The sequence below is a fragment of the Homo sapiens genome, chromosome 10, assembly GCF_000001405.40.
Source record: "Homo sapiens chromosome 10, GRCh38.p14 Primary Assembly".
NCBI lineage: Eukaryota > Metazoa > Chordata > Mammalia > Primates > Hominidae > Homo > Homo sapiens.
Genome location: NC_000010.11, coordinates 19,983,852 through 20,010,000, shown reverse-complemented (window position 1 = coordinate 20,010,000; position 26,149 = coordinate 19,983,852). Strand labels below are relative to the sequence as shown.

Genomic DNA, 26,149 nt, shown 5'->3' with positions numbered 1-26,149 from the left:
GCCTTTCCCCTAACCACTATCTCATGTCACACCACAACAATTCTAATCTAAATTTAACTCATCTTTTCACTCCTAGATTTGGGATTTCTGATTCAGTTCCCATAGCAATCAGGTAGGAGCATCATTGCAAACTTGCCTTTCTGTATTTAATATTGTATAGCAGTTTCCAAGTACCTTCCTGATAAATTCTAAACACCTTAGTGTCGTACACAATGAAGTTTAAAATCTTGCTCCTGGTTATCTGTGTAAAACACGCTATCTAGTATGACCTTGACACCTGGCTATCTTCTGACACTTTCTTCGTGACTTGGTTCAGATGACACCTCATCACTGCATTAATCCTGCCTCTCTACAGAACAAAGGTCTCCTTCTGCCTATTCATGAACCAATGCAGTATTTCTCCTTTTCAATTACGTGCTTTCACATGCTTTCATTCTCATCTTCTGTGGAAGCCAACCTGACACCTACAAGCATTTGGAAGATTTCAATACACTTGGAGGTCCAAGATGTGCACTTCTTCAGGATTAATCTTTGCCTTCCCTTTGCACAATTTTCTGATTTTGCAGCCACATGTTAAACATCTATCAGTTTAAGATCCCCCCAAAAGGAAATATTTCACACACAAAAACTCCATCAGATTTTCACATTCGTAATAAATATAGTAAAAGGACTGTTCAATATCAAAGGATACTTTCTTTTGAAAAATGTCAAAAATCTACACTATCACATTCTCCTTGTACGTGTTTTATTCTAAGAATTCACTGAGCACAATAGTAGTGTAAAGACAGAACCAGCATAGCAGCATTCTGCAAAATTTTATCACTCTATTTCTGTGAAATGGGATGATGTCTTACTACTCCTTTATAGTTACATTCATTATTGTAACTGTCAGACCTCTGAAATTGAGTGAGCTTCCTTAGGCTTAAAATATAGAAGAGGAGTAAGATTTTCCACATCTATGGATAATCCAATGTACTCTCTTGTATTAGTCCGTTTTCAAGCTGCGAATAAAGACAAACCCAAGGCTGGGTAATTTATAAAGAAAAAGAGATTCAATGGACTCACAGTTCCACACGGCTGGAGAGGCCTGACAATCACGGCAGAAGGTGAAGGAGGAGCAAAGTCATGTCTTGCATGGCGACAGGCAGGGAAACTCTGTTTTATGGAACCATCCGATCTCAAAAGACTTGTTCACCATCATGAGAACAGTATGGGAAGAGCCTGCCCCTATGATTCAGTGATTTCCCACTGGGTCTCTCCCACAACACATGGGAATTATGGGAGCTATACAACTCAAGAAGAGATTTGGGTGGGGACATAGCCAAACCACATCATCTCTATACCGCAAACATAACATGGAGATTCTGTCCACATCAACATTACAAAATTTGCTTTTTCTTCATAAAATCATCATCAACACAATCACATTTTTTATTTTTATTTTTTCGAGACAGAGTTTCACTTTCGTCACCCAGGCTGGAGTGTCATGACACGATCTCGGCTCACTGCAACTTCCGCCTCCCAGGTTCAAGCAGTTCTCCTGCCTCAGCCTCTCGAGTATCTGGGACTACAACACGCACCACCATGCCTGGCTAATTTTGTATTTTTAGTAGAGGCAGGGTTTCACTATGTTGGCCTGGCTGGTCTTGAACTCCTGACCTCAAGTGGTCCACCTGCCTCGGCCTCCCAAAGTGCTGGGATTACAGGCGTAAGCCACCACGCCTGGCCTACATTCTTTTTTTAGATTAAGTATTTTCTGGTGACTTATTTCCTCTTAAACAGACTTTCTAGTTAAAGGCTGCAATCAGCTATTAGAGCCCACACAATGACCTTGTGTACAGCAATTAGCAACTGGTAAAATTTTTAAAGAAACATATTGCACAATTTGTAAAAATAAGATGCCAACACAACTGGCAGTGTATGTGTGATAGCCGAAGATCAAAGAGAGTTTTTAGGAATGCATTTAAGAGAAAAACTGTTTATCTCTACTTTTTAGCTAAATCTATCACACATATTTGTTGATCATTCTTGACTGTACTTTCCTCAGATATGAACTTCCATGCACATGAATAATACAACAGTTGCTGGATACAACTGACATTTTTAATTAGGTACCAGAATGAGAATTCCATGAAACATACTGTTGGCAGGCACCTAAATTTAAGCTAAGATTTCTGCTCTCAAAACTAATAGCTAAATCCTTGCAACCCAAAGTGTGGCCTATGGCCTACCCACAACTATATCACCTGAGACCTTATTAGAAACAGAATATCAGACCGGCTCAAGCCTAGAACTAAGAAATCAGAATATGCATTTTAACCAGATTCCCAGGTGATTTGTAAGCTTGTTAAAGTTTCAGAGGCATTGGCCTAGCTCCCAATCTCTGAGTCACTTTTATCATGAAACTGTACTAATATGATCCATAATACCTATTTTTAAAACCTCCCTTCTTCAGTCATCCAGTGGCTTTTGAGTCAAGGCAAAAAATCACACAGTACAGTCCTTTTAATAAACACTTTCAATGTCCCAAGAGTGGAAATAGGACACTTCCAAATATTGCATGTGAATAAGTGTTCAAAACCACATATCTGGTCTAGCATGTCACAAAGGACTTTGAGACTGATTTCTATAAAGTGAAGAACACTATAAGTGACCAACACTATTCTACAGCAATAGGCTGATGAAACTGAGCTTTATTAAGCATCAGTAATTTCAGCCAACACTGTCAAAGCACTCTCCATCCTATGAGGTGCTATCATTGCTATGAGAGCTTCATGCCAGATAATGGGAAGGTGCCAGCTTCCAGGGGAAGATGCTTGCCCTGCTCATTTACACATATGTCCCTGAGTTGTGGAATTCAGTGAAGGCTGCTCCAACAAGGCCAAATCATGAATGGAATCCAATCCTGCCTGAAAGCCCTGTAAGCCTTTATATTCCCAAAATAATTATACAAAGTAGCACATGCAGTGACTATTTCCCGACACCTCATTTTTAATACCTACACTTCAGCAGAAGGTACTTTACTTCTCACCTGGCTAAGTGGTTATACGTCCGTATGAATGAACAGAGGAAATACAAGAAGAAAGGTCTCACAGAAATCAACATTCAGATCAATAGCGGCATTTGCCATCTGTTGGGCCCCTGCTTATTCAACAGGATATACAGTTGGCTTCTAGAGATTTTATATGCTCATGGGAAGAATATTAGACAATGAAAACAATAACAACAACAAAACCTTAACTGGAAGAATTCTTTAACTGGGCTACCAAGTTTTACAATCCTTCCATTATCTGTTCTTGTGAAGAGCCAGAAAAAATACTGTCACCAAGTACCAAGTGAAGAGAATAACAGCCTTTGTGTCAAAACAGTAAACATGCTATTGTCTTGTGTTGGTTTGGGATTTTTGTTGTTGTTGTTGTTTTATTTAAGTTAAAGTAGAACATAAAGTCGAGACAATGAAAAAAAATGAGGAGAACATCTGAGGAATACCATTCTGGGTGGTTTTTGTCTCACTGTGATACACATAATTTTAACAGCCACTACTGCAGTCAGGGCTACGAGACAAAATAATTCTGACCCCTGAAACTGAGTTTGAAAGCGTCTAAAGGAAAAAAGCACACAGAGTCTTTCTAGCTCATTGTTTGTATTTAGCAATATAAACCAAAAAGATAAGCAAGACCTTGTAACAATGCCAGGCACAGAGTATTCACTTTATAACCATTTGGTTTCTTTCTTATTTCTGTTTAACAATGGGGCAAAACTATTTTCCCCAAAAGAGATGCAACCGTGTTCACAAATGCCTTTTTTACCTTTTTTTTTTCTTAGACTGAGTCTCGCTCTGTTGCCCAGGTTGGAGTACAGTGGTGGAATCTCAGCTGGCTGCAACCTACACTCCCGTGCTCATGCAATTCTCATCCTCACCCTCCTGAGTAGCTGGGATTACAGACACTCGCCAGCTAATTTTTGTATTTTTAGTAGAGATGACGTTTCACCTTGTTGGCCACGCTGATCTCAAACTACTGACTTCAGGTGATCTGCGCACTTCAGCCTACCAAAGTGCTGGGATTACAGGTGTGAGCCACTGCGCCTGGCCCACAAATACCATTTCAAGAGCCAGGATACGTAAAACTTTCTGATATGGTTTGTGTATTTGTCCCTTCCGAATCTCATTTGGAAATGTAATCCCAGTGTTGGAGGTGGGGCCTGGTGGGAGGTGTCTGAATCACAGGGGCAGATCCCTCATGAATGGCTTAGTGCCATTCCCTTGGTGATGAGTGCGTTGAGGAGAGATCTGGTTGTTTGAAAATGTGCAGCACCATGCCCCTCACTCTCTCTTGTTCCTGCTCTCATCATGTGACACGCCTGCTCCCACTTCACCTCCTGCCATGGTTGAAACCTTCCTGAGGCCACACCAGAAGCCAAGCAGATGCTGGAGCCATGCTTCCTGTAGGGCCTACAGAACCGTGAGCTAAATCAACCTCTTCTCTTTATGAATTACCCAGTCTCGGTATTTCTTTATAGGAAGGCAAAAATGGCCTAGTACACTTTCCAAACTTTCAGAGGTAGATTTTTGTTTCCGCAACTAGTGGCAGTGCCAAGGAGCTACTTGAGGACTTTAGATCCCAATAATCTCCATCAATCCCCAGAACCCCAACAAAATAAATGAATCTTGAAATAAAAGCAGTGTTCTTAGTATGCAACCCTGGATTCAAAACAAGTCTTTTATGAGCCAGACTGAAACCCCACAATTACCCTCCTATGGATACTCATGGGCTGCTGCTGTTCAAAATCACTACATAATTCAAGTGTCATTTGTCTTTCCTTTTGCTAGAAAGAGCAACGTCAAGCCTAGAGGATCAACCCTGTAAGCCTGGCAAAGCTTGCATTTGAATACCAGCAGGGTTTGAATGCTCATTAATGGGAGACCTTAGGAAAATACTAAAACCTAACTCTGAAATTGCCCTCGTGTAAAAAAATCATTGAAATTGCCCAGAAAACACAGGGACACAAATCTTTCAAGGCTGCTGTGGACCAAACAAAAGAGCATCCACACAGTACCTGGCAGCTCTTAGCCCTGGGTGAGTACCCACCAAACAGTCCCCTGGGCCATCCTTCTGCCCTCTTTTTACTGATTCAAACCTGACACTTTGTGGTCTCCCTCTGTTAAGGTAGAAAGTAGAAAAATTGGCTGAATCACAAAATTACAGCTACAGTAACCACCGGGATTGTATTTTCAGGAGTGTTAATATACCCCCAATCAAAGAGATTTCTTATTTTATAAATGATTAAGAAAATTCAGCACCCCACAGGAGAGATTACAGAGTTCTTGGAATCTGTGTTCTCCTCTTTCCTTTTTCGAAGAAATTTAAAAGTCTTTACATACTTAGGGGGTGCAGATTTTTTGCATTTTGTCGTGGCAAAGTCTGGGCTTTTAGCCGAATAGGGATGTGTTTTTCCCTTTCAATATCCATCGAGTCCTAGTTCTGGGCAGAGAGTAAACGCCTCTGCTTCTATTCAGTTCTCCTTTCTTGATGCTGCACCCCAGCTAAAGAGTGGCTCAGGGAAGAATTATGTTGCCTACCCCAAGTTGCTATAACATCATCATTGCCAAAATAGCAGGCCACTCTGCAGGAGTCAGAATAGCCTCTTATAGATATCATAAGACTTCTGCTCCTGACACATCAACCGTTGCCTGGTAAGCGACCTGCCTGGGGCAGCCTGCCAACACCATGGCCACATAATAGCTAATGCCATGGAGTGGGGTTTGAGAAATTGCTGTATTTTTCAAATATACTGAATTCCCACAGCCTATACTTCAGATCTTTTGAAGATTTCTCTCACTGTGAGGGAACAAAATGATGCCTTGATACTATTTGCAGGACTAGGTAATATCTGCTTCAGGAAACTGAGTTTTTTTTCTTAAATAATGAGTATTTCAGGGATTGTGGTGCAGTAAAAAGAATGCTGCCTGGTTCTTAAAAATCATAAGCCTGTCAGCTCAGAGAAAGTAGGAACTGAAACTTCAGGTTGAGAAAGAATGTACCAGCACGCAATGAGCAGACCGTACGTGACGACAGAACTCTGATGCAACCTCTCCAGCAGCCAGTTCAGGAAGCCACACCACAGCCTTGGCAGTAGTCAGCCCGGAAAGGTCAGGACTTCCTTAGTAACTGAGAGCTTCTCTATTTCTTTGTCTTCATACCACTCTCAGGACCAACCATCAAAAGCCAAAGATGTTCCTCAAACTAATAATAAAAGATGCTGTTTCTTGCTGGGTGCAGTGGCTCATGACTTTAATACAAGCACTTTAGGAGGCCGAGGCAGGTTGATCACTTGAGGTCAGGAGTTCAAGACCAGCCTGGCCAACATGGTGAAACCCCGTCCTTACTAAAAATACAAAAATTAGCCGGTGTGGTGGTGCACACCTGTAATCCCAGCTACTCAGGAGGCTGAGGCAGGAGAATGGCTTGAATCCAGGAGGCAGAGGTTGCAGTGAGCCGAGATCATGCCACTGCACTCCAGCCTGGATGATAGAGCGAAACTCAGTCTCAAAACAAACAAACAAACAAACATGCTGTTTCTAATTAGCCTACCTCCAGGTTTGCCATGCCAACAACCTCTGGTCAGAGTGCATCTGAACCTTCTATTTTTCACCAAAAACCTTCCCACTCCCTGAGCTGCCTTTATATCTCTGCTGAAAACAAGTGATGGCAGCCGAAGCCGTGCCTGAGCAAACTGGATAAATCACCTCTGTTTGTTCTCATTTGGGTGGTCTTCGCTTTTTTGCCCAAGTTTACTTGCTTGTTTCTGTTGTACCTAGTTTACAAGCAAGATCATATTTTGTGATTTGCAGTGCTAAGGACTACAGAAACTTAAGAAATAACACCACCTTTGAGGCCTTCGAGCAACCCTGAAATCTGCCTAAAATGCACCCTCTGCAAATGTCTGTACTTAGCAAACTGTTCTCTGACCATTCTCCTCCCTCCGCTTCATAGCTCCAACCATAATAAAGAATAACTCACAGTCAGAGGGACCAATCATCCCAGTTTGTCCAGAACTGTTCCATATTTAACACTGGAAGCCATCCTACGTTCCAGAAAACTTCTCGGCCCCAAGCCACTGGAACCAGTGGTCACCCTATGAGACAGTCCTGGAGATGTCATTCTACACCTCAGCCACTGCAGAGGAAATTTACTCTGCCTAGCATGCCCCTCCCTCTTCCCATAAACAGGTCATCAGTTAGGTGAACTCCTCTCAATCTGTCAAGCCCCCATCTAAATGCCAAGTTCTAGGCTAAGCCTCTTTGACAACACCCCAACTCTCAATCCCAAGCAGTTTCATCACACTCTCCTTCATGCTACACTACAGCCTGCATACTTTGATTGTACATATCACATGGCCCTGGGATGATTTGCTTATGGCACTTAGATGCTGTTACACAGGACCAGGTGAGGTGGCTCATGCCTGTAATCCCAGCACTTTGGGAGGCCTTCGTGGGTGGATCACTTAAGGTCAGGAGTCCAGACCAGCCTGGCAAACATGGTGAAATGCCATCTCTACTAAAAATACAAAAAATAGCCAAAAGTGGTGGCATGCGCCTGTAGTCCCAGCTACTCAGGAGGCTGAGGCAGAATAATTGCTTGAACCCAGGAAGCAGAGGTTGCAGTGAGCTGAGATTGTGCCACTGCACTCCAGCCTGTGTGACAAGAGTGATACTCCATCTCAAAAAAAAAAAAAAAAGCTCTTACACAATGAATTCCTTGAGAGCAGGCACAGTATTGATGCCTCACTGCTCACTGTCATCACCACACCAAGCCTGTGTTTGTCTGTAAATGAATTAATGGATGGTAAAGTGGCTTAGTTATTATATTTATTAACGAATTAAATTGTTCTTTAAAAGAAATCCAAAATTTCTAGATTGAGATGAAGAGACAACTTATGTCTATATAAAAGTTGGGCACCTACATGAAATAAATTCATTAATCCATTTCAATTACCCAGACTATTTATCTACCTCGATCTGAGTGTTATTGTCCTGCCCATCATCCAGCAGCAGGTCTGTGAAGCTTCTGGGCTCAGGAGAGTCTTGGCCGACGCTTGCTCGGTTCGTGTCTACCGCCTTGAGAAAGTCCAAGTTTCTTTTCCACCTGTGGCTGTACGCGTGTGAATCAACTTCCACCTCCTCCTCTGTGTGAGGGAAGGCCTGAGTAACTCCATACTGCCAATCTGTTTGAAAAAGAAAGAAAATGGGTTACCACTCATTATGTGTACCATACATGCAAGTGCTATCGGCTCGAGAAGAAAAAAGAATTCTGTGAGGCACGAGAATAGGAAACTAACTTGTAACAGTTAAATCTGTTTACTTGCAATATCTTGAGCTGGTACGAACATCTCTGATTGGAATGCAATTGCAGGAAACACCAGGAGTTGTGACAGTGGTTAACGGGCAGATCTTGCAGAGTTTTTAAAAACAGATGTGCAGCCCTGAAGCAATGCATTTTTATTCCCTTCCCTTGCCCCCTCCACACGCACACTTCATACACATTCTCTAGCTGTTCTGAGAAAGCAAGCTAGAATCCAAACAAAAGGATGAAACCAAGTAATTGTCAGATTATTTTGAAAATAAAAGTCAGACCTCATTAATTTGTAAGCTTATATTTATTTCATATTTATTTCATGCTGGACAGCAAAGAGACACCAGTGTATAGGAACGGGTTAAATAATACATGAAATTGTCTTCGTGTAAATGGGCGAAACTACCTTGTAGCTTACAAGCCAGTCTTCATTCATTGCCTGACCCATTTAATAAGTAAGACCCTCAGGAGTCATCCCTGCACTTTTGTTCATCTGTGCCGTTCTCACCTTGAAATCTCGTCAGGGTCTAAAGGATGACAGTGATGGGCACTTACAGAAATGGATGGGAAGGCAAGGAGATCAAATCACAAAGGCATTTTAAAGTCATCTGCAGGGACTGGCCTTGCTGACCCAGCTCATCCTGCTACTCCAGGAGGAAAAAATGAGATTTAATCATTGCTCCTCGTCTCTCATTTCAGTAGGTCAGCAGGGGAAAGCATGCCACAAGTATTGGAAATTCAGTTTCTGAACAAGAACAGCCTTCTTCTACCCAACTATTAGTAAAAGATATGAATGGACGGGTTTTAGAACTGGCAAGATATGGGTTCCAAAAGGCAGAAGGAGCAGTGATTTAATTACAGCCATTATGTTCCCCTTGGTACAAGAACATTCTAAGAAACCAAAATGTATTTAATGCAGCTTATAATACAATGATTCAGCTACTTAGAACTCTAATAACTAACTTAAGATTACCACTACCAATCACAGGCATAATTACCTAAACTACCTCCTTTTCAACTCAGAAAGGTGCTAGTAATTCTTCTAGACAGAGAGGATATTATTTGGTTTCACAGTAAACCAAAGATCTCTGATTGTCTGATGTCATGATGCATACAGTAAAAGATCTCTTATTGTCTGATATTATGATGCATAGAGTAAGGATATATGCCTGTCTCATACCAGAGAGAAACACTACCATGATGTCTGCCATCTAGACCTTTCCTTGAGCTCATAGAATGTTAGAGCTCAAAAGGACCACAGAGACCAAAGTAGCCAAAACTCCACAGGGAGAAACCCAAGAGCAAGAGAAATGTAGCATTGTGTTCTTTTTATTGAATTGTTAGAGGCTAAAAAAACAAAACAAAACAAAAAAAAAAACTCATGTACATAAAGGGCTGAGTGTGGACACCCTCCTGCCCTCCATACAGTAAGTGTTTAATAAGCACATCTAAGCAGTATTGTCATCGTCACTGTAGAAAATATCTCTTTTTATAACACTGTTGTCCCTACTGGCCATTGGATAGTACTCAAAATGTGTTTATTGATTGACTGAATGAGTGGACGAATGAATTGTTGACAGTCTTTCTGGAGCAAGCATCATCGGACCAGGCAAAATTAAGTAATGAAAAAACTACTGTGCAAGGAAGAATCCAGGACTCTTGGGCTGGAATTCTGTCTAGTAGGTTTGCTGGTTGTATGATCCGGCATAATTCTAAAAAGTCTCCGTGCTTTTGTTATTCTATATTTTAAATGGGAATGAAAATATCCTGCCTGCAAAAGCAGACAGCTTTTCCTGAGAATGTGTCAGGCTCTGAGACCTACGGTTTTAGGCAAAGCTACATAAAGCAATTTTACTTGCTTTATTTATATATCCTGCTTCATTACCAAACATACATGAGGCACCTTATAACCCAGCAATAAAACTTTATGACAACCAGATAAGACCTCCTAGCACAACACTTAGGTCAATGTCAGATACCTGCATTTTCCTTGCACTTGCTATAGTAGCTCTTAGCAAGTTACACCCCTGACATAGCTATGCAAACACAAAGAGTCATGTAGGAACCACTGAAAACCCATGCAGGATCCTTGTTAGAATGTCAACCTAGATAAGAAATGGTAGCAAACATCATTCAGAGAATAGATTAAATGATTCCAGATAAAAAAAATGGTATTTAAAAAACATACACACTAAGGCAATGGTGTCAACCAGAGGCCTATCAGTCTTTCAAAATGTAAATCAGAAAAAAAAAAAACAAACACCTACAACTTCAAAGGATTTGTCTTCATTAAAATCTTCAAAACAGAATTTCAAAGCAGCTCTTGGTTTCTTTTAAATAAGTGTTACTTATTCCTCCTTGATGTTAATTTTTACCATTTTTTAGATATTTATAACATAGGACAAAACAGAACTTTCTGGAATACCCATTAGCACCTTCCCTCCCCTTTTAAATTAGCTTCTGGGATCCTGGCACAGAACAGAAAGTAAACGGAATGCCTAATACTGGAGGAGCCTTCTGCATGGGATTCTACTTCTAAACTTTCTCAAATTCGCTTTCCTATTTTTTCTTCCTGCCTTCCTTCTCTAGAGAACAAATGAAAAGGAGCTCCAAAACTTAGAAACGATGAAGTCTCTATTTCCCACTTAAGTTGAAATTTGAGAAGTCTGATGAATGTGTCAAACTCTTGTTTTTGTACTGAACATTCAAGCTCATCCTTTAGTAAGATTATTAGGAAACAGTAAATTTAGCAGACAGGTATGAGACAAGCATATATCCTTACTCTAGCACTTACAAGGTTTGGTCTCTAGACAGCTGAGGTTTGATTTTTTTTTTCCCCCACTGTTTAGCAGCGTTTTATGATTTTGTATCTCTCGCTTGCTGTTACCATTGACAGCTGTTACAGTCAAATGTTGACAAACCTCCATCTCTGTGCCTCCTGGAATTTGCTACCTCAAACTTGGAAAACAGATCTCTTGCTTGCTCTAATTGTGTTTGCAAAGAGTAAACAGGATCTCAGGAAAAACATGAGGTGTTTTCTAATGAGAACATTTGTGAGCTTTAGGGCCTGGCATCCATGAATATCCTTTTGGTTGCTTCTTTTGGTTGGCATTTTAAACCTAATTCTTTCTCTCTGGTTATGTCATGAATAAACAAGGCTACCTGGTCGTGCATAGAGGAAATCCTATTATATGTTCATAATTCAGTAGTACATGGCTCATCAAGACTGAAAAGTATGAAACTGAGTTAGATTTTGATCCCACTTCTAAATGATTTTTAGAGAAGATAAAACAAGTCAAAATATATGTTTTACAGAATAAAGACAGGATAATCAGAAAAATCACAGCTTCGTTATCTATATTGTAAATTACTCCTAGGCATTTCACAGACTTTCAAACTCATACAAATGTTTTAAATTACTCTTTAAATCAGCACCAAAACAAATTACTCAGAAGCAAGATGAAGGAATATATGTGATATAATTTTTCCCTTTCCAGCTGCAGTAAAAACAAAAACAACAGCAGGGATCTTTGAATAGTCTGGCTGAACAGATTGTTTGCTTTCGGTCTACTGTATGTTAATTAAACCACTGATGGAAAAACCTTCAAAGATCATTTTCCCCAACATATTTGGCTATAGTCATTAATCACATAGCTCATGGAAACACTAAATGCATCTCTTGATTCCCATTGGAATATAAGAAGACGAAGCTTTGAAAACACATTTCTGTAAATACAATATATACATTGATCTTAACACATTCTTGAGATTTTTTATCATAATAGCAGATAAACTATTGTAGAAAGTTCTTCATTGTTTTTCCAATAAACATGAGTAGGAAACCCCACAACGTTCAGTTAATCTGAGAGTAGAACAGGAAATTCATGTGTATCCTCATATATATTCTCATATTATTCTTTGCAAATCTTGCAGGTCTCTTTTTTGTCATCACATACTCTAATATAATATAAAAGCAAAAGAGAAGAAAGCTTTGCTTGGAAGGATATGTTTATGTATTATTCTAATGATTTTATTAAAATATCTTGCATTTAATTAATAGTTATTTGCTGAAAACATTTGAACATTTTTTGAGTTTTACATACAAAGCACACACATAAGACAGGTGAAACCACCAAAAAGTAACTGCATAAATTGACATGCATCTTATGTAATTAGGATCCATCTCTACTGCACCTTATGACAAACACTTTGACCTGCACATTTCAAGTGAACCAAATCACTATTGTAAATCCTCTGAAACATTCAGATTGTTCACTGAAAGCAGATTGGCTGGATAGATACATTTGAGACTAGATGAAAATATTTGGCTAAGATAGAATGCCATATGTCTTTGCATCTCAATTCATTGCAGAACCAAAGATAAAATTCTATAGAAAATAGTTATATCTTTAGGTATGTCGATAAACTAGACTACTCCAGCTTTGAGGTTTTAACTGGCAGCATTACAGACTAAGGTAGCTACAGAAGATAAAGCTTACAGAATGTTTGGTTCAGAGATACTAAGGAGTTGAATGGGACCTAGACACTCTATTTTATTAAAGCTCTGAGGAAGACTTTTGTGTCTCCTAGGTTGAACTTTGCCTCATATTCTATTCCCACCATAGGTGCTGATATGGTTTGGCTGTGTCCCCACCCTAATCTCATCCTGAATTCCCATGTGTTGTGGGAGGGAAACAGTGGGAGATAATTGAATCATGGAGGCAGGTCTTTCCCATGCTGTTCTAGTGATAGTGAATAAGTCCCATGAGATCTGATGGTTCTATAAGGGGAAGTTTCCCTGCACAACCTCTCTCTCTTTGCCTGTTGCCCTCCATGTAAGATGTGACTTGCCCCTCCTCGCCTTCCCCCATGATTGTGAGGCCTCCCCAGCCACATGGAACTGTAAGTCCATTAAACCCCCTTTTCCTGTATAAATTACCCAGTTTCACGTATGTCTTTATTAGCATGGTGAAAATGGACTAATACAGGTGCCTCAGGTCACATTTCCATCATCTTTTGTCTCCTGGCTTCCTAGCCTGTTTGTTTATTTGTTTGTTTTAGAGACAGGGTCTTGCTCTGTCACCTGGGCTTTAAGTGCAATGGCACGATCATAGCTCACTACAGCCTCAAATCCCTGGGCTCAAGTGATCCTCCCACCTCAGCCTCCTGAGTAGCTAGAATTACAGGTGCACACCACCATGCCCAGCTAATTTTTAATTTTATTTTTTGTAGAGATGGGGTCTCACTTTGTAGCCCAGGCTGGCCTCAAACCCCTGGCCTCAAGTGATCCTTCAGCCTCAGCCTTCCAAAAATGCTGTGATTACAGGCATGGGCCTCCATGCCTGACTAATTTTTAATTTTATTTCTTGTAGAGATGGAGGTCTCATTTTGTTGCCCAGGCTGGTCTTAAACTCCTGGCCCCAAGCAATCCTCCCACCTTGGCCTCCCAAAGTGCTGGGATTATAGAAGTGAGCCACGGTGCCCAGCCCTATCTAGTCTTATGTTGTCATATTCTTCCTTTTACAACCTTTTCTCCACTTGCTACCAGAGACACCTTACAAATTTTTCACTTCACTTTTCTGACAAGCCTCGAATGACTCCTTATATCCACTCAACTATAAGACACCCCATCCTCTTGTTCCACTTTCCTATCTCTTCCTTGTCCCCATCATGCCTATGTTCCCATCACACAGAATTTAATAGTTTCTTTACCTACAATGAATATAGTTACTATTGCATGGATGAAAGCCTTTACCCTACCCCAAGACTTTGGGAAATCTGATAACTCCTTCAAGATTCAGCTCAATATTGTCTGTTTAAATGAACTTCTCTTGACTCCCCCAGGTAGAGCTAATTGAGTTTTCTTCTATAATCCAGTAATTCCTTTGCCTGACTCCTTCAACATTCTTATGTCTACCACCACTGGAATGTGAGACTGTGCAGAGGAGAGTTAACACAGAAGGCATGAGACTGCTATCCTTAGAAAGTGCTATTTGCAAGTCTGGCCCATATCTGGCATCTGGAAATTTAGATTTAGGGACGGTTCCCATCATTCCCTAACTGATAAAAGTGGCTCACAGTGCCTAAACCGGACAAACAATGGGATTTATGCTGAACACCTTCCTTCCTTCTGGGAGTCTGGAATTTTGGTACATGCTAGACAAAAGATAGTTTACATGACTAGCCCACAGTAGGACCTTGGGGACTGAGTTTTTAATGAACGTCTGGGATAGACAATATTTCACACTGTGAACGTGTTATAACAATTCATTGCTGAAAACATAAAATGCATACCGTGTGTGGAAAGGACTCTTGGAATTTTGGCCCTGGTTTCCCTGGACATTGTCCCATGTGCTTTTCCCCTGTACCAATTTTGCTTTGTCTCCTTTTGCTGTAATAAATCATAACCATGAGCATGACTATATGATGAGTCTTGTGAATCTCACCAGCAAAATCACCAAAGCTGGGGTAGTCTTGGGGACCACTGATACAGAGATGTCTCAAAATAGAGACTCTAGCTTATTTATATTTTTTGTCCCATCAATACAAGCATGGACATTGGCATATAATACCTATCTAAAGTTTTTTAATAAAAATTCAAAGAGGCCTGGCGCTGTGGCTCACGCCTGTAATCCCAGCACTTTGGGAGCCGAGGTGGGTGGATCTCCTGAGGTCAGGAATTCGAGACCAGGCTGGCCAACGTGGTGAAACCCCGTCTCTACTAAAAATACAAAAAATTAGCCAGGCGTGGTGGTGCACACCTGTAATCCCAGCTACTTGGGAGGCTGAGGCAGGAGAATTACTCGAACACGGGAAGCGGAGGTTGCAGTGAGCCGAGATTGCACCACTGGACCCCAGCCTGGGTAACAGAGCGAGACTCTGTCACACACACAAAAAAAAAATCAATAAATGAATGATTAACCAGGTTAACTGCTCATCTGAGACGGTGTCTTAAAAGTTTATGTATGAAACCTCTTGTCTAACTTATTAAGATTTTAAACTGAGTGCAGTGGCTCATGCCTTTAATCCCAGCACTTTGGGAGGCTGAGGCAAGCAGATTGCTTGAGACCAGGAGATGGAGACCTGCCTAGGTAACACAGCAAAACCCCATCTCTACTATAACTGCAAAATTTAGTAAATTTTGGTGAGAAACATTTGGGTATGGTGGTGTGTGCCTGCAGTCCCAGCTATGTGGGAGGCTGAGGTTGGAGGATCGCTTGAGCCTAGGAAGACAAGGCTGCAGTGAGCCATGATGATACTAATGCATTCTAGCCTTCCAGCCTGGGTGACAGCAAGAAGCTGTCTCAAAAAAAAAAAAAAAAAAAAAAAAAAAATTTAATCATGTTTCCAAGTAGTCAGAGAAAATGGTTAAAAAAAAAAAAAAAAAAAAAAAGGAGAATACAATGGGAACCTATGAAAGCTTCTCTTTATCCAAGATGATCTTAACCCCAAAATAGCTCACTGGACAGTTGGGTAATGTTTAGCTACACTTATGATTGCAGTTCATCATCTCTGTTCTTTGTGGTTAATGAAATCAGTAAGAAGTATAACACATGTCTTTTTGGAGAATGTGGGCATGGCTATGTGGGATTGAAAGGCTATGAAACTAGATGAAAAAAAGAACAATTTTAAGTTAAAACTAGAAGATGAGCAGAGAATGACTCTGGAAGTTCGAGGCATAAGGGTTCAATCTCTGAGGCAGCAGAGAATTAGAACCATGCAGGCCTATGGCCAAGATGCAAGTGCCCTGCACATTCCCTACTCTCTGTCCTTACCCTTCTCTGCCTTTGAAGTCATTGCAGGAATTTGGGCCATTGTAGGGTAATGTTTTGGTGAAAAACATTTGGCAATTTAAAAAATATATATATAAAACGAAACAGAACGGGAAAATCCAATTAAACAGGCACTCAATCCAAAATACACACTTGGCCAGGTACTGTTGCTGACGCCTGTAATCCCAGCACTTTGGGAGGCCAAGGTGTGTGGATCACCTGAGGTCAGGAGTTTGAAACCAGCCTAGCCAACATGGTGAAAGCCAGTCTCTACTAAAAATACAAAACTCAGCCAGGTGAGGTGGCGCATGCCTGTAATCCCAGCTACTCAGGAGGCTGAAGCAGGAGAATTGCTTGAACCCGGGAGGCAGAGGTTGCAGTGAACCGAGATTGCACCACTGCACTCCAGCCATGGACACAGAGTGAGATTCCATTTCAAAAATAAATGAATAAATAAATAAAAATACACACTTAACTAATTTACACTTTTAAAATGTAACGGTTTATAATTTTACTATTAAATAAAAGAGTAAAGAGACATTATAACTTTATGTGTAATTATGATATACTATCCTATGGAAAATATAAAGTATGCCAAGCCTAATGAGCCATAATTAATAAAATTAAGACAACTGTAAGGTATTGCTACATCTTTACTAAAGTATTAAAAATAAATAGAATAAAACTGTATTAATGATTATAAAACAAAGTTGTTTTACACATTGCTTCTAATGAAAGGTTAATAATAATAACAATAACCCTCATTTAGGGTTAGTAATGGGCTTGGGCTTGGCATGAATTATTATCCCATTTTACAGATGAGGGAATTGACGTATGTGAGAAGTCCAGTGATGGTTCGGGGAGGCAGCCAGAGCCGAGTCGTGAGGCTAGGTCTTAATTCCTGTCTAATCTGCCTCTGATTAATCGTTCAGAGGATCAGTTTAGCAATCTGTGACAAAGCCTAGTGATATAACACAAGAAAACAATCAAAGGAGAAAAAATAATCTAAGCAAAGTGGGCTATTTAAAACAGCAAAAATCTGTAAACAATTCAGCAAGGAAAAGCAAATAAGAAATAGGATATCCCATCATGGTGACTCTGTTAATAGAAGGAAATGAAATGCTGTTAAGGTAAAAACGGAGCAGAAAGTAATACTACAGTAATATTGGTTGTTGTTTTCTATTATATCTTGAAATATTTGGGAAGTACTTTAAAACAATTAATCTTTGCATTAATTGAGGGTTTTCTACTAACTGTCTAGTAGGAATTTAAAAGAAAAATGAAATTCAAGACAATTTTAGCACTTGTTATACTGTGATAATGATAATCTCTTATCTTATAATAAAAGGAAAATGATCAAAGAACTCAGAGCATCCACTGAATTTTCATATAAAATCTGTGTGATTTATTTAAGGAATAGGCTTCTTTCCACAGGAGCCATAATCCACAGATAACCTATGAATAGGAAAAGAGCATTTAATGAAATCTGAAAATCTATTTTTTAATAAGATTCTTGTGATTTTTCACAAAGAACATTGCATCATAAACCCAGAAACCACATAAAATGTTTAGGTATGTAACTTCCCACCATTGGTGAAATGATAGGGTGCAGCTTTATAGCCATATGGTTCTTCCCACCTAGAAAAGTCTACTACCCTCCAGTTTAGCTAAGTGTCTAGTTTTTGTACTTTAGGCTATTTGGGGTCATATATTAAATATTCTACATTGATTTTCAAGTTTTCTATTTTATTTGTGGAAATTCATGTGCTATGATAGTTTAGTGGTTCCAGAGCACAACAATCAACTAAAACCACTTGGTAAAACACTTTCACACTGCTATTCATCTTTAGTCATCTCAAACTGCTCTTGTTTCCTATATTGGGCTAATTTTATAATGAGGGCTCTGAACTAACAGGTAAGTCCCACTGCATGAAAAGTTTGAGTCCGCCAACCAGGGGAGATGGAAAATTCTGTAAACAAGGACCAATCATGGCCAATACCTCACTATGGAAAATATGAAATGGCTGAGGCAGAAGAGGCCAGATGTAATCAATTCTTTTAATGGTACCCAGTGTGAGAGATGATCTGCAAATGTCTCGGACCCAAATCACCGAGGGCCTTCTATTAAATCTAGGCTGCCAGATGTCTGATAGACTCTGATAGACTCAATCTCATTCCACATTGTCATAACTTTATATTCAGTTTGTGGGGTTGGAATCCATAATGGTGCAACATTGAGCCCAGGCTGACTTATCCAACGACCAGAGACGACAGCCAATAGATGTACTTCTATCTGATTATGTTTTATAAATTGTATATGATTTAAATCAGATAAATCATAACCCCATTATCATCAACTTACCCAGTTCCCATTCTGATTAATTCAAGGTAGTATTAGGGGTGAAATATTTTGATTTGAAAAACATGTTTCTCTAGGTAAACATATGATTTTGAATTTAAAAAATCACTTTTCATTTAGCTTCTTTCCTCAAAATGGTAGAACATTAAGCCAAAAAAAAAAAAAAAAGGGAAAATGATGAGAAATAGAAATTTCAACATCACTATAAATTTAACAAAGAAATATTGGGTATTCACAAACTGAATCACAGTTGTTGTTTTTTTTTTTTTGAGAGAGAGTTTCGGTCTTGTTGCCCAGGCTAGAGTGCAATGGCATGATCTCGGCTCACCGCAACCTCTGCCTCCCAGGTTCAAGCAGTTCTCCTACCTGAACCTCCCAAGTAGCTGGGATTACAGGCACGTGCTACCACGCCCCACTAATTTTGTATTTTTAGTGGAGATGGGGTTTCTCCATGTTGGTCAGGCTGGTCTCGAACTCCTGACCTCAGGTGATCCACCCGCCTCGGCCTCCCAAAGTGCTGGGATTACAGGCATGAGCCATCATGCCCGGCCTGAATCATACTTTCAATACTATTTCACTCCACTGAATTTAGTAAGATTTTTTTCACTTTTTTGGGAATAAAACATTTAAATCTGGATATGAACTACTGTTCATCCAAGTAGCAGTTTTAAAATAAAGTTCCCAAGAATTTCTAAAATGCTATGAATGTCTGAATTCTGACATTGCTTTCCTAAATGACTTTCCCTAATTAAATTGCATGATTGCATATATTTACACTGATTACATAATTTAACTAACATTGTAAATAATCCACAATCAACAAAATTACATTAAAAAAAGAAATCAAGACAGTAAAAACTATACTAAAATTAGATTTCCATTTTTGTGATATATTCCTTAAACATACAAACAACCAGTTAAGAATTAAGCACTAAAATGAGATAGAAACTCACATTTCAGAAGTAATCTATCAACACCTGTAGATTAGTTGAGCTCTAACACTTAGAATCCAGCGGCTTCTCTTTTTCTTTATTTTTGAATTACATTTTTATAAAAGGTTTTCATAACTCACAAAAGCAAATTCTAGATAAACTAGAAGACTCTCTAAATAGTTGTTAAAATATATATTTAGAATAAATTCCTTCTAAGGGTGTGGCCTACTTTAGTGTAAGACTAAGAAAAATACCTGAACTTCATAAAATAATTGAAAAACAATGTCTTTCATATAGGACAACAAATTCTTGCCAGGATTTTGCTAAAAATTATGTTTGATATATAGTCACTAATGCTCAGGACAAAGTACTAAGACAGAAATCATGGTCTTTATTTTATAAATAAGCAACACCTGAAGAATATGGACTTAACGTGGTCCAGTTCAAAAAGTCATTAAGTGATGAATTTCATTGTATAAATAAAAAAAAAATCCTGGTGGTAAAGTAAGCATGACCTCATTCTAATTAAAAACACTGGCCAGGTGCGGTGGCTCACACCTGTAATCCCAGCACTTTGGGAGACTGAGTCGGGCGGATCAGGAGGTCAGGAGTTTGAGAACAGCCTGTCCAACATGGCAAAACCTCCTCACTACTAAAGATACAAAAATTAGCCGGGCATGGTGGCGAATGCTTGCAATCACAGCTACTCGTGAGGCTGAGGCAGGAGAATTGCTTAAACCCAGGGGATGGAGGTTGCAGTGAGTCAAGATCACACCACTGCACTCCAACCTGGGTGACAGAGCAAGACTCCATCTCAAAAAAAAAAAAAAAATTCACATAAGTAAAAAAATTGAAGGACTCTATAAAATTATTAAATTAAAATACTTTTTTAAAAATATAAAAAATAAATCATTAAAAAGGAAATAAGAAAACAATTAAAATATTATTCCATCCTGGGTGCAGGGCTCAGTTATCACCTTAATGAATATGCTTCCAGAATATTTCTCTGAAAGCCTGCACATGTCTTCAAATATACAGGTATGCATGTGTGTACATAAATATGTGTCCACATATGCGTATAACTTGATTTCAGCACCACATAATAAATATCTTTCCATGTTATTGGCTATATATTATATTTAATGGACAATTTGTGTCTACCATAAACTATTACTGAATTGTTAACATTTTAATTTGATACTAGAGGCTATATTTTTGTGAACAACTGCAATCATTTGCTCAGAAAAAATTTATGAGTAGAATCTGTATGCTAATGCACTCAGCCTGTATCAGTTTACACACTCACCAGCAGGTCATGATAGCATACCACATTTTATAAGGTAAGCTCCAAAACGTACTTTACAAACTTTTGCTTGTAAAAAACCATTTACATTTTGTTAAGCATCTCCCAGGTATTTTCTTCTTACTCAGGCTAAACCATAGAAAACTGGATTTGTATTGTTAGTCACCTAAATGTGGTATTAGGCCAGGTGCGGTGGCTCATGCCTGTAATCCCAGCACTTTGGGAGGCCAAGCCTGGTGGATCACCTGAGGTCAGGAGTTTGAGACCAGCCACACTGGGCAATATGGTGAAATTTCATCTCTACTAAAAGTACAAAATTTAGCCAGGTGTGGTGGCAGACACCTGTAATCCCAGCTACTTGGGAGGCTAAGGCAAGAGAATCTCCTGAACGGGGGAGGCGGAGGTTGCAGTGAGCAGAGATGGCGCCATTGCACTCCAGCCTGAGCAACCAAGTGAGACTCCATCTCAAAAAAAAAAAAAAAAAAAAAAAAAAAAAAAAAAAAAGTGGCATTATTAACTTAACCCTAACTTGAAATTTTGCCAATATAAATATTTTAGACCTTATCAAATGATGGAAAAATCTTGACCAGAAAATAACAATACTGAAAGCACTACAACATTTGATTTTATCCCTGTACAGTGAGAATATGAATATGTTTTATCTTTGCTAAACCATACAATTTTGGAGATAATATCATAACTAAATACTTCATTTTTAATATGTCTGTGGTATAGGTTGAAGTATGCTAGTCCTTGAATCCACTATTAAGTAAATATATATTTTTGAAACTTGAGACCTAATCTTAAATATTATCTATTTTCAGTCACTTCTCACAAATTATAGATAGTGATATTAAGAGGATTACTTAATTTTGAGAGTGAAGGTAAGATATAATTTCTCTAACCTACAAATGGTTAAGGAAAAAAAAGTATGAACTATAGCACAAAAAAATAGTAGGAAGTTGTCAGTTAACCCAAAAGAGGTTCCCAATTTTGAAATATTATTAGAATATCTTAATCTTTCCTGGAAGCTACACATATCAGGTATTTTCCAATTCTGTATTTCCTTAGTTATCAGTTAGGCTTGCAAAGGCTTTCAAAATCATTGAGCTTCTAAAATTCTAACGAAAGGATAGTAAGCTCATGTGACATTACCCCAACAATGGTGATTATGTAAATGATGAACCTCCAGCCAAACCAAGGACAAAAGCATTACATTTATTCATGACTAACAAAGGCTGGGAGAAGAAAAAGTGTAATTATTTGGTGGTAAGAGTCTAAATTTTAAACAAGATGGGTAGGGGAAAGGGAATAGGGTATGAAATGTAAGTTATATATAAAATGTAAGTTAGATTATGAACTTTTCCTCCTCTTTTCTGTTAACAAAAATGTAAAATAAAAACAAATAACATCGGCTGGGCGCGGTAGCTCACGCCTGTAATCCCAGCACTTTGGGAGGTCAAGGCGGGAGGATCACAAGGTCGGGAGATCGATCGAGACCATCCTGGCCAACAAGGTGAAACCCCATCTCTACTAAAAATACAAAAAAAAAATAGCCGGGGGTGGTGGCGGGCGCCTATAGTCCCAGCTACCGGGGAGGCTGAGGCAGGAGAATGGCGTGAACCCTGGAGGCTGAGCTTGCAGTGAGCCGAGATCGCGCCACTGCACTCCAGCCTGGGTGACAGAACGAGATTCCGCCGCAAAAAAAGAAAAAAAAACAAAACAAAACCAAATAACATCAACACTCAAAGAATCAACCTAGAGTAAAAAAAGGATGGCAAGTGTACCTTAATATTTAAATTTCAATCCATTTACATCCAGATTTGCATGCATGACACTCTGGACTAAAGAAAGAGTATTAAATCGGTAAAAAATTATGTTCTGGGACGGCGGGATGCACGTGACCATGAAAATCTAGACAAACTTTTAACAAACTAGGAAAAGGAAAAAAGAAAGCGACATTGTTTAGGTATTTAGAATGGTGGCAAAGTCACATAATAATAATTTTGGTAGTTGGTTAAAGCAGAGGGAACCTCTCTGGAAAAGGCTGATCGAACATGTGGTTATTCTATGAAGGCATCAACTGCTCCTAGCCTGGGTCAGGGGTCATCTCTCTAGGCTCTCCAGCCAAATGGGATTAACCTCACTTGTCTTTTCACTAAACGCTGAAACGTGGGTAATGGCTTTGCTCCATTTATGTTTCAATTAATACAAACAGTGGTAGTACTTGAGAAAATTGAGAAAGGGAGATATCAGTGAAATACATATCTTCCTTTCCCAATTAAATATATATCCCACAACCACTTCCCACTTCAAACATCTGTGATAACTAGCCTTGAGCACTTCCAGTGTTCATGCACAGAAATCACTATTTGCCTTGAACTCCAGTCCCACTCAAAAGTAATAATCCTGCATCTCTTCTAGAATAAATTAATGCACATTAACATGTTCCCATTCTACACAGATAATTTTCTTTCGCATTTCCCCAGAGGAAAAGCAAAATGCTCTGAGACACACTTTCAAGTATACTGCTTATAAGGAATGGCATGTGGATAAAGAGAGGAAAAGACATCACCGTGTTCTCACTTTAACTTTACATAATGTCTCACAACTCCCAAAACACTGCTCTGGAGTGAAGTGTTTTAACCTGCCTTTTGTTATGAATTACTTGGCTGGGTAACAGACAGGCAGCCTGGGATCATTTCTTTTTGTATGTCTTTTTCTTTTTCTTTGTTTTTTTTTTAAGCCATCAACATCTTTCAGTGCTATTTGGAATGCTGAGAGAATGCTTTGTTCCATTCCCATTTATCAATCGAATACTTCATGAAGTTTAATTAAAATTAAGTCAAAAATATTCTCTGTATTTGTATAAACCTTAAATTTGTTAACCTGTTATTGGATTTTCAAAAATACCTGTTTAGAAAACTGATTTAATTTTCTATTTATATGTAAATTCCAGTTTCTAAGCTTGGATTCAGGTCTGTTCTGAGAATGCTAATCCTAACTCGACTGTATTTAAACTCATTGTAAATACACTTAGAAAGACCTCTCACTAGTTCATAATACGTTTATCAATCACTGACATTTAAAACATTTCAGAGTGCTCTGCAAAATGCCTAAGTTCCTGTTTGTGAAAAAAAAAGAAGTGCTTTCTCCTCAATTCGATGTAAATTCATCCATTCATTCATTCATTCATTTCTTCTTAATCAAATCATGCCAGCTTCAAGCTTTCCAAAGGCTTCCCAGTGGTTTGCAGAAGCCCCAGCCAAAACATGGTGCCAGCAAGAATTAGCCTTCTACTGGAGGACTGGAAGGAGGACCAGTGTGACTGGAGTGGAGGAAGCATAGGCAAAGTGGTCTGACACAAGGAGGGAAGGTGAGAAGAAACCGTATCCCCCAGGGCCTTGCAGAAAGCAAGGAAGTTGGATTTTACTCTAAGGAGGTGGAAAGTCACTGGAAGGGTTTTAGCAAGAAAAGGCTTGATCCAACACATGACTTAACATGATCACCTCCGCTATTATTGACTTCAAAATAGATTGCTTGAGTATATGTTTTCACCACGTCAGGCTCACTTGATAAAAGCAAACAATGCTTTTATTCTGAAGATATCCGGCTATCACACATAAAGTCAGTAAAGGATTGACTAATTTGATGAGTTACTTGTTAGCATAAAGAGTGGACTCAGAGAAGAAAAGTAAGTACTTAATTAGGCTGACAGGTGAGTAAAAATTTTAATATCTAGGATTGTTAATTCCCCATTTCATGTATTTAATAAGACATATGAAATACCTGAGTTTTCCACATCATCAGCAACTTCTCTAAGTGGAAATAAGAAAACAACTGAACACTACTAAAATCCACTACAATAATCTCTACTATAGAAAAAGTGGATTTAAACTTCCTGCATCAAGGTGTGGCATGGAAGAGCAAAAATAACCTGATTTGTTCTATCCCCATTTTCCTCTGTTTAATATTTCAACAGGTAGAAAGGACAGCAGTTAATTTTAACAAATAAAATCAAAGACAGGAGAAGGGGAGGAGTCACCCTAAAATTTATGGTGGCTTATTGGCCATAAACAGAGACTGTGTCTGAGGTCCATATCTTACCAGAAATCTGACCAAAGCATCTCAGTTTGCAATGCATGTATCGCCCTGATAATGCAGGAATGCAAAGAGTAATGAAATTGGTTTCCTAAACAGAAAATAAGCCTTCGCAGCTGTAGAAGATGCTCAAGAAATCTTTGTTGAATGAATGAACAAATAACATTTCAGAAGAAAGAAAACAGAAATGCAATTTCCTTTTACAAGAGTAAGAATTAAAGAAAAAATTAGGGACAGCTGTTATACAACCGAAATTCCTACACGTTGAACATCAATAAAATCTCTACATTCTTCCTATCATTGATAATAAAAGTACACATAAACTAGTTTCTCAAACTTCAGAATGCACTAAAATCACATGGTGTTCCTGAAGATTCCTCAAACCTACACGCTTCACAAAGACCCCTGGGGATACTGAGGCAGCTAGATCAGAGAACTACACTTGAAGAAACACTGTTGTCAGTAAAACACTGAATAATTCTATTTCTCCTGTGTCTCTGAAGTTCAGGGTCATAAACTTATACTGTCTGAGGTCCCACCATCAGTCATGCGCAGAAATCACTATTTGCCTTGAACTCTAGTCCCACTCAAAAGTAATAATCCTGCATCCCTTCTAGAATAAATTAATGCACAATTAACATGTTTCTACCCTACACATGTAATTTTCTCTTACATTTCCCCAGAGGAAAAGCAAAATGCTCTGAGACAAATTTTCAAGTGTACTGTTTACAGAGAATGGCATGTGAATAAAGAAAGGAAAACACATCACCATGTCCTCACTTTGACTTTACACAATGTCTCACATCTCAGGCTGACACCTGAGCCTGGGTCTTCAGACCTCAGGTTCAGTTTCAGCTCCCACACAAAGTCCACCTGGGATGTTCAGTGGCATTATCCTGCCTCTTCCCCCCTTGCTTTCACTAGGACACACCTGCCCCAACACCAGACCTCTTACTGGAGTGGCCATCCAGAAATGGGGAACCCTGAGATAGGGGTACACGATGGAAGTGAGGGATACAGGGGACCTGAATTCTTTCTGGAACTTGAATTATACCCATATAGGAAATACATATGTGAAACTCAAAGTGGTAGCTTCTGCTTTTTCTTGCCTGACACTTCGACGACCCATGGGAATATGTCATCATATGGAAAACCGCTGGACCAAGTCTCAGTAACACATTTAAACTGACGTATCACCCTATAGTTTGGGCCTGCCTTTTATATTGTAAATATCAGGATTAATTATTGGAGTGATGAGCTGGGCAGGCCAGGTACTAAGGAAAATCTAGGAAAAGCTCCCACATGCCCAGGACTCACCTGAGGGAAGG

The 26,149-nt window shown here is 39.2% G+C and overlaps 1 protein-coding gene across 3 annotated transcripts in view, besides 2 other annotated features; it reads right to left on the bottom strand.

The window, feature by feature from the left end:
- The window catches only part of PLXDC2 (plexin domain containing 2), a 473,425-nt gene that overhangs the window by 279,856 nt on the left and 167,420 nt on the right, over positions 1-26,149 (bottom strand). For all 3 annotated transcript variants that reach the window (NM_032812.9, NM_001282736.2, XM_011519750.3), the window contains exon 2: positions 8,015-8,226. In NM_032812.9, coding sequence (NP_116201.7) covers positions 8,015-8,226 — 212 coding nt within the window. The remainder of the gene's footprint in view (positions 1-8,014; positions 8,227-26,149) is intronic.
- Positions 5,891-6,050: an enhancer, noted in NCBI's record as "active region_3118". NCBI's record gives its function as "activates an Ori minimal core promoter by ATAC-STARR-seq in GM12878 lymphoblastoid cells {active_cell/tissue: GM12878}" and the evidence as "EXISTENCE:reporter gene assay evidence [ECO:0000049][PMID:35858748]".
- Positions 6,131-6,220: an enhancer, noted in NCBI's record as "active region_3117". NCBI's record gives its function as "activates an Ori minimal core promoter by ATAC-STARR-seq in GM12878 lymphoblastoid cells {active_cell/tissue: GM12878}" and the evidence as "EXISTENCE:reporter gene assay evidence [ECO:0000049][PMID:35858748]".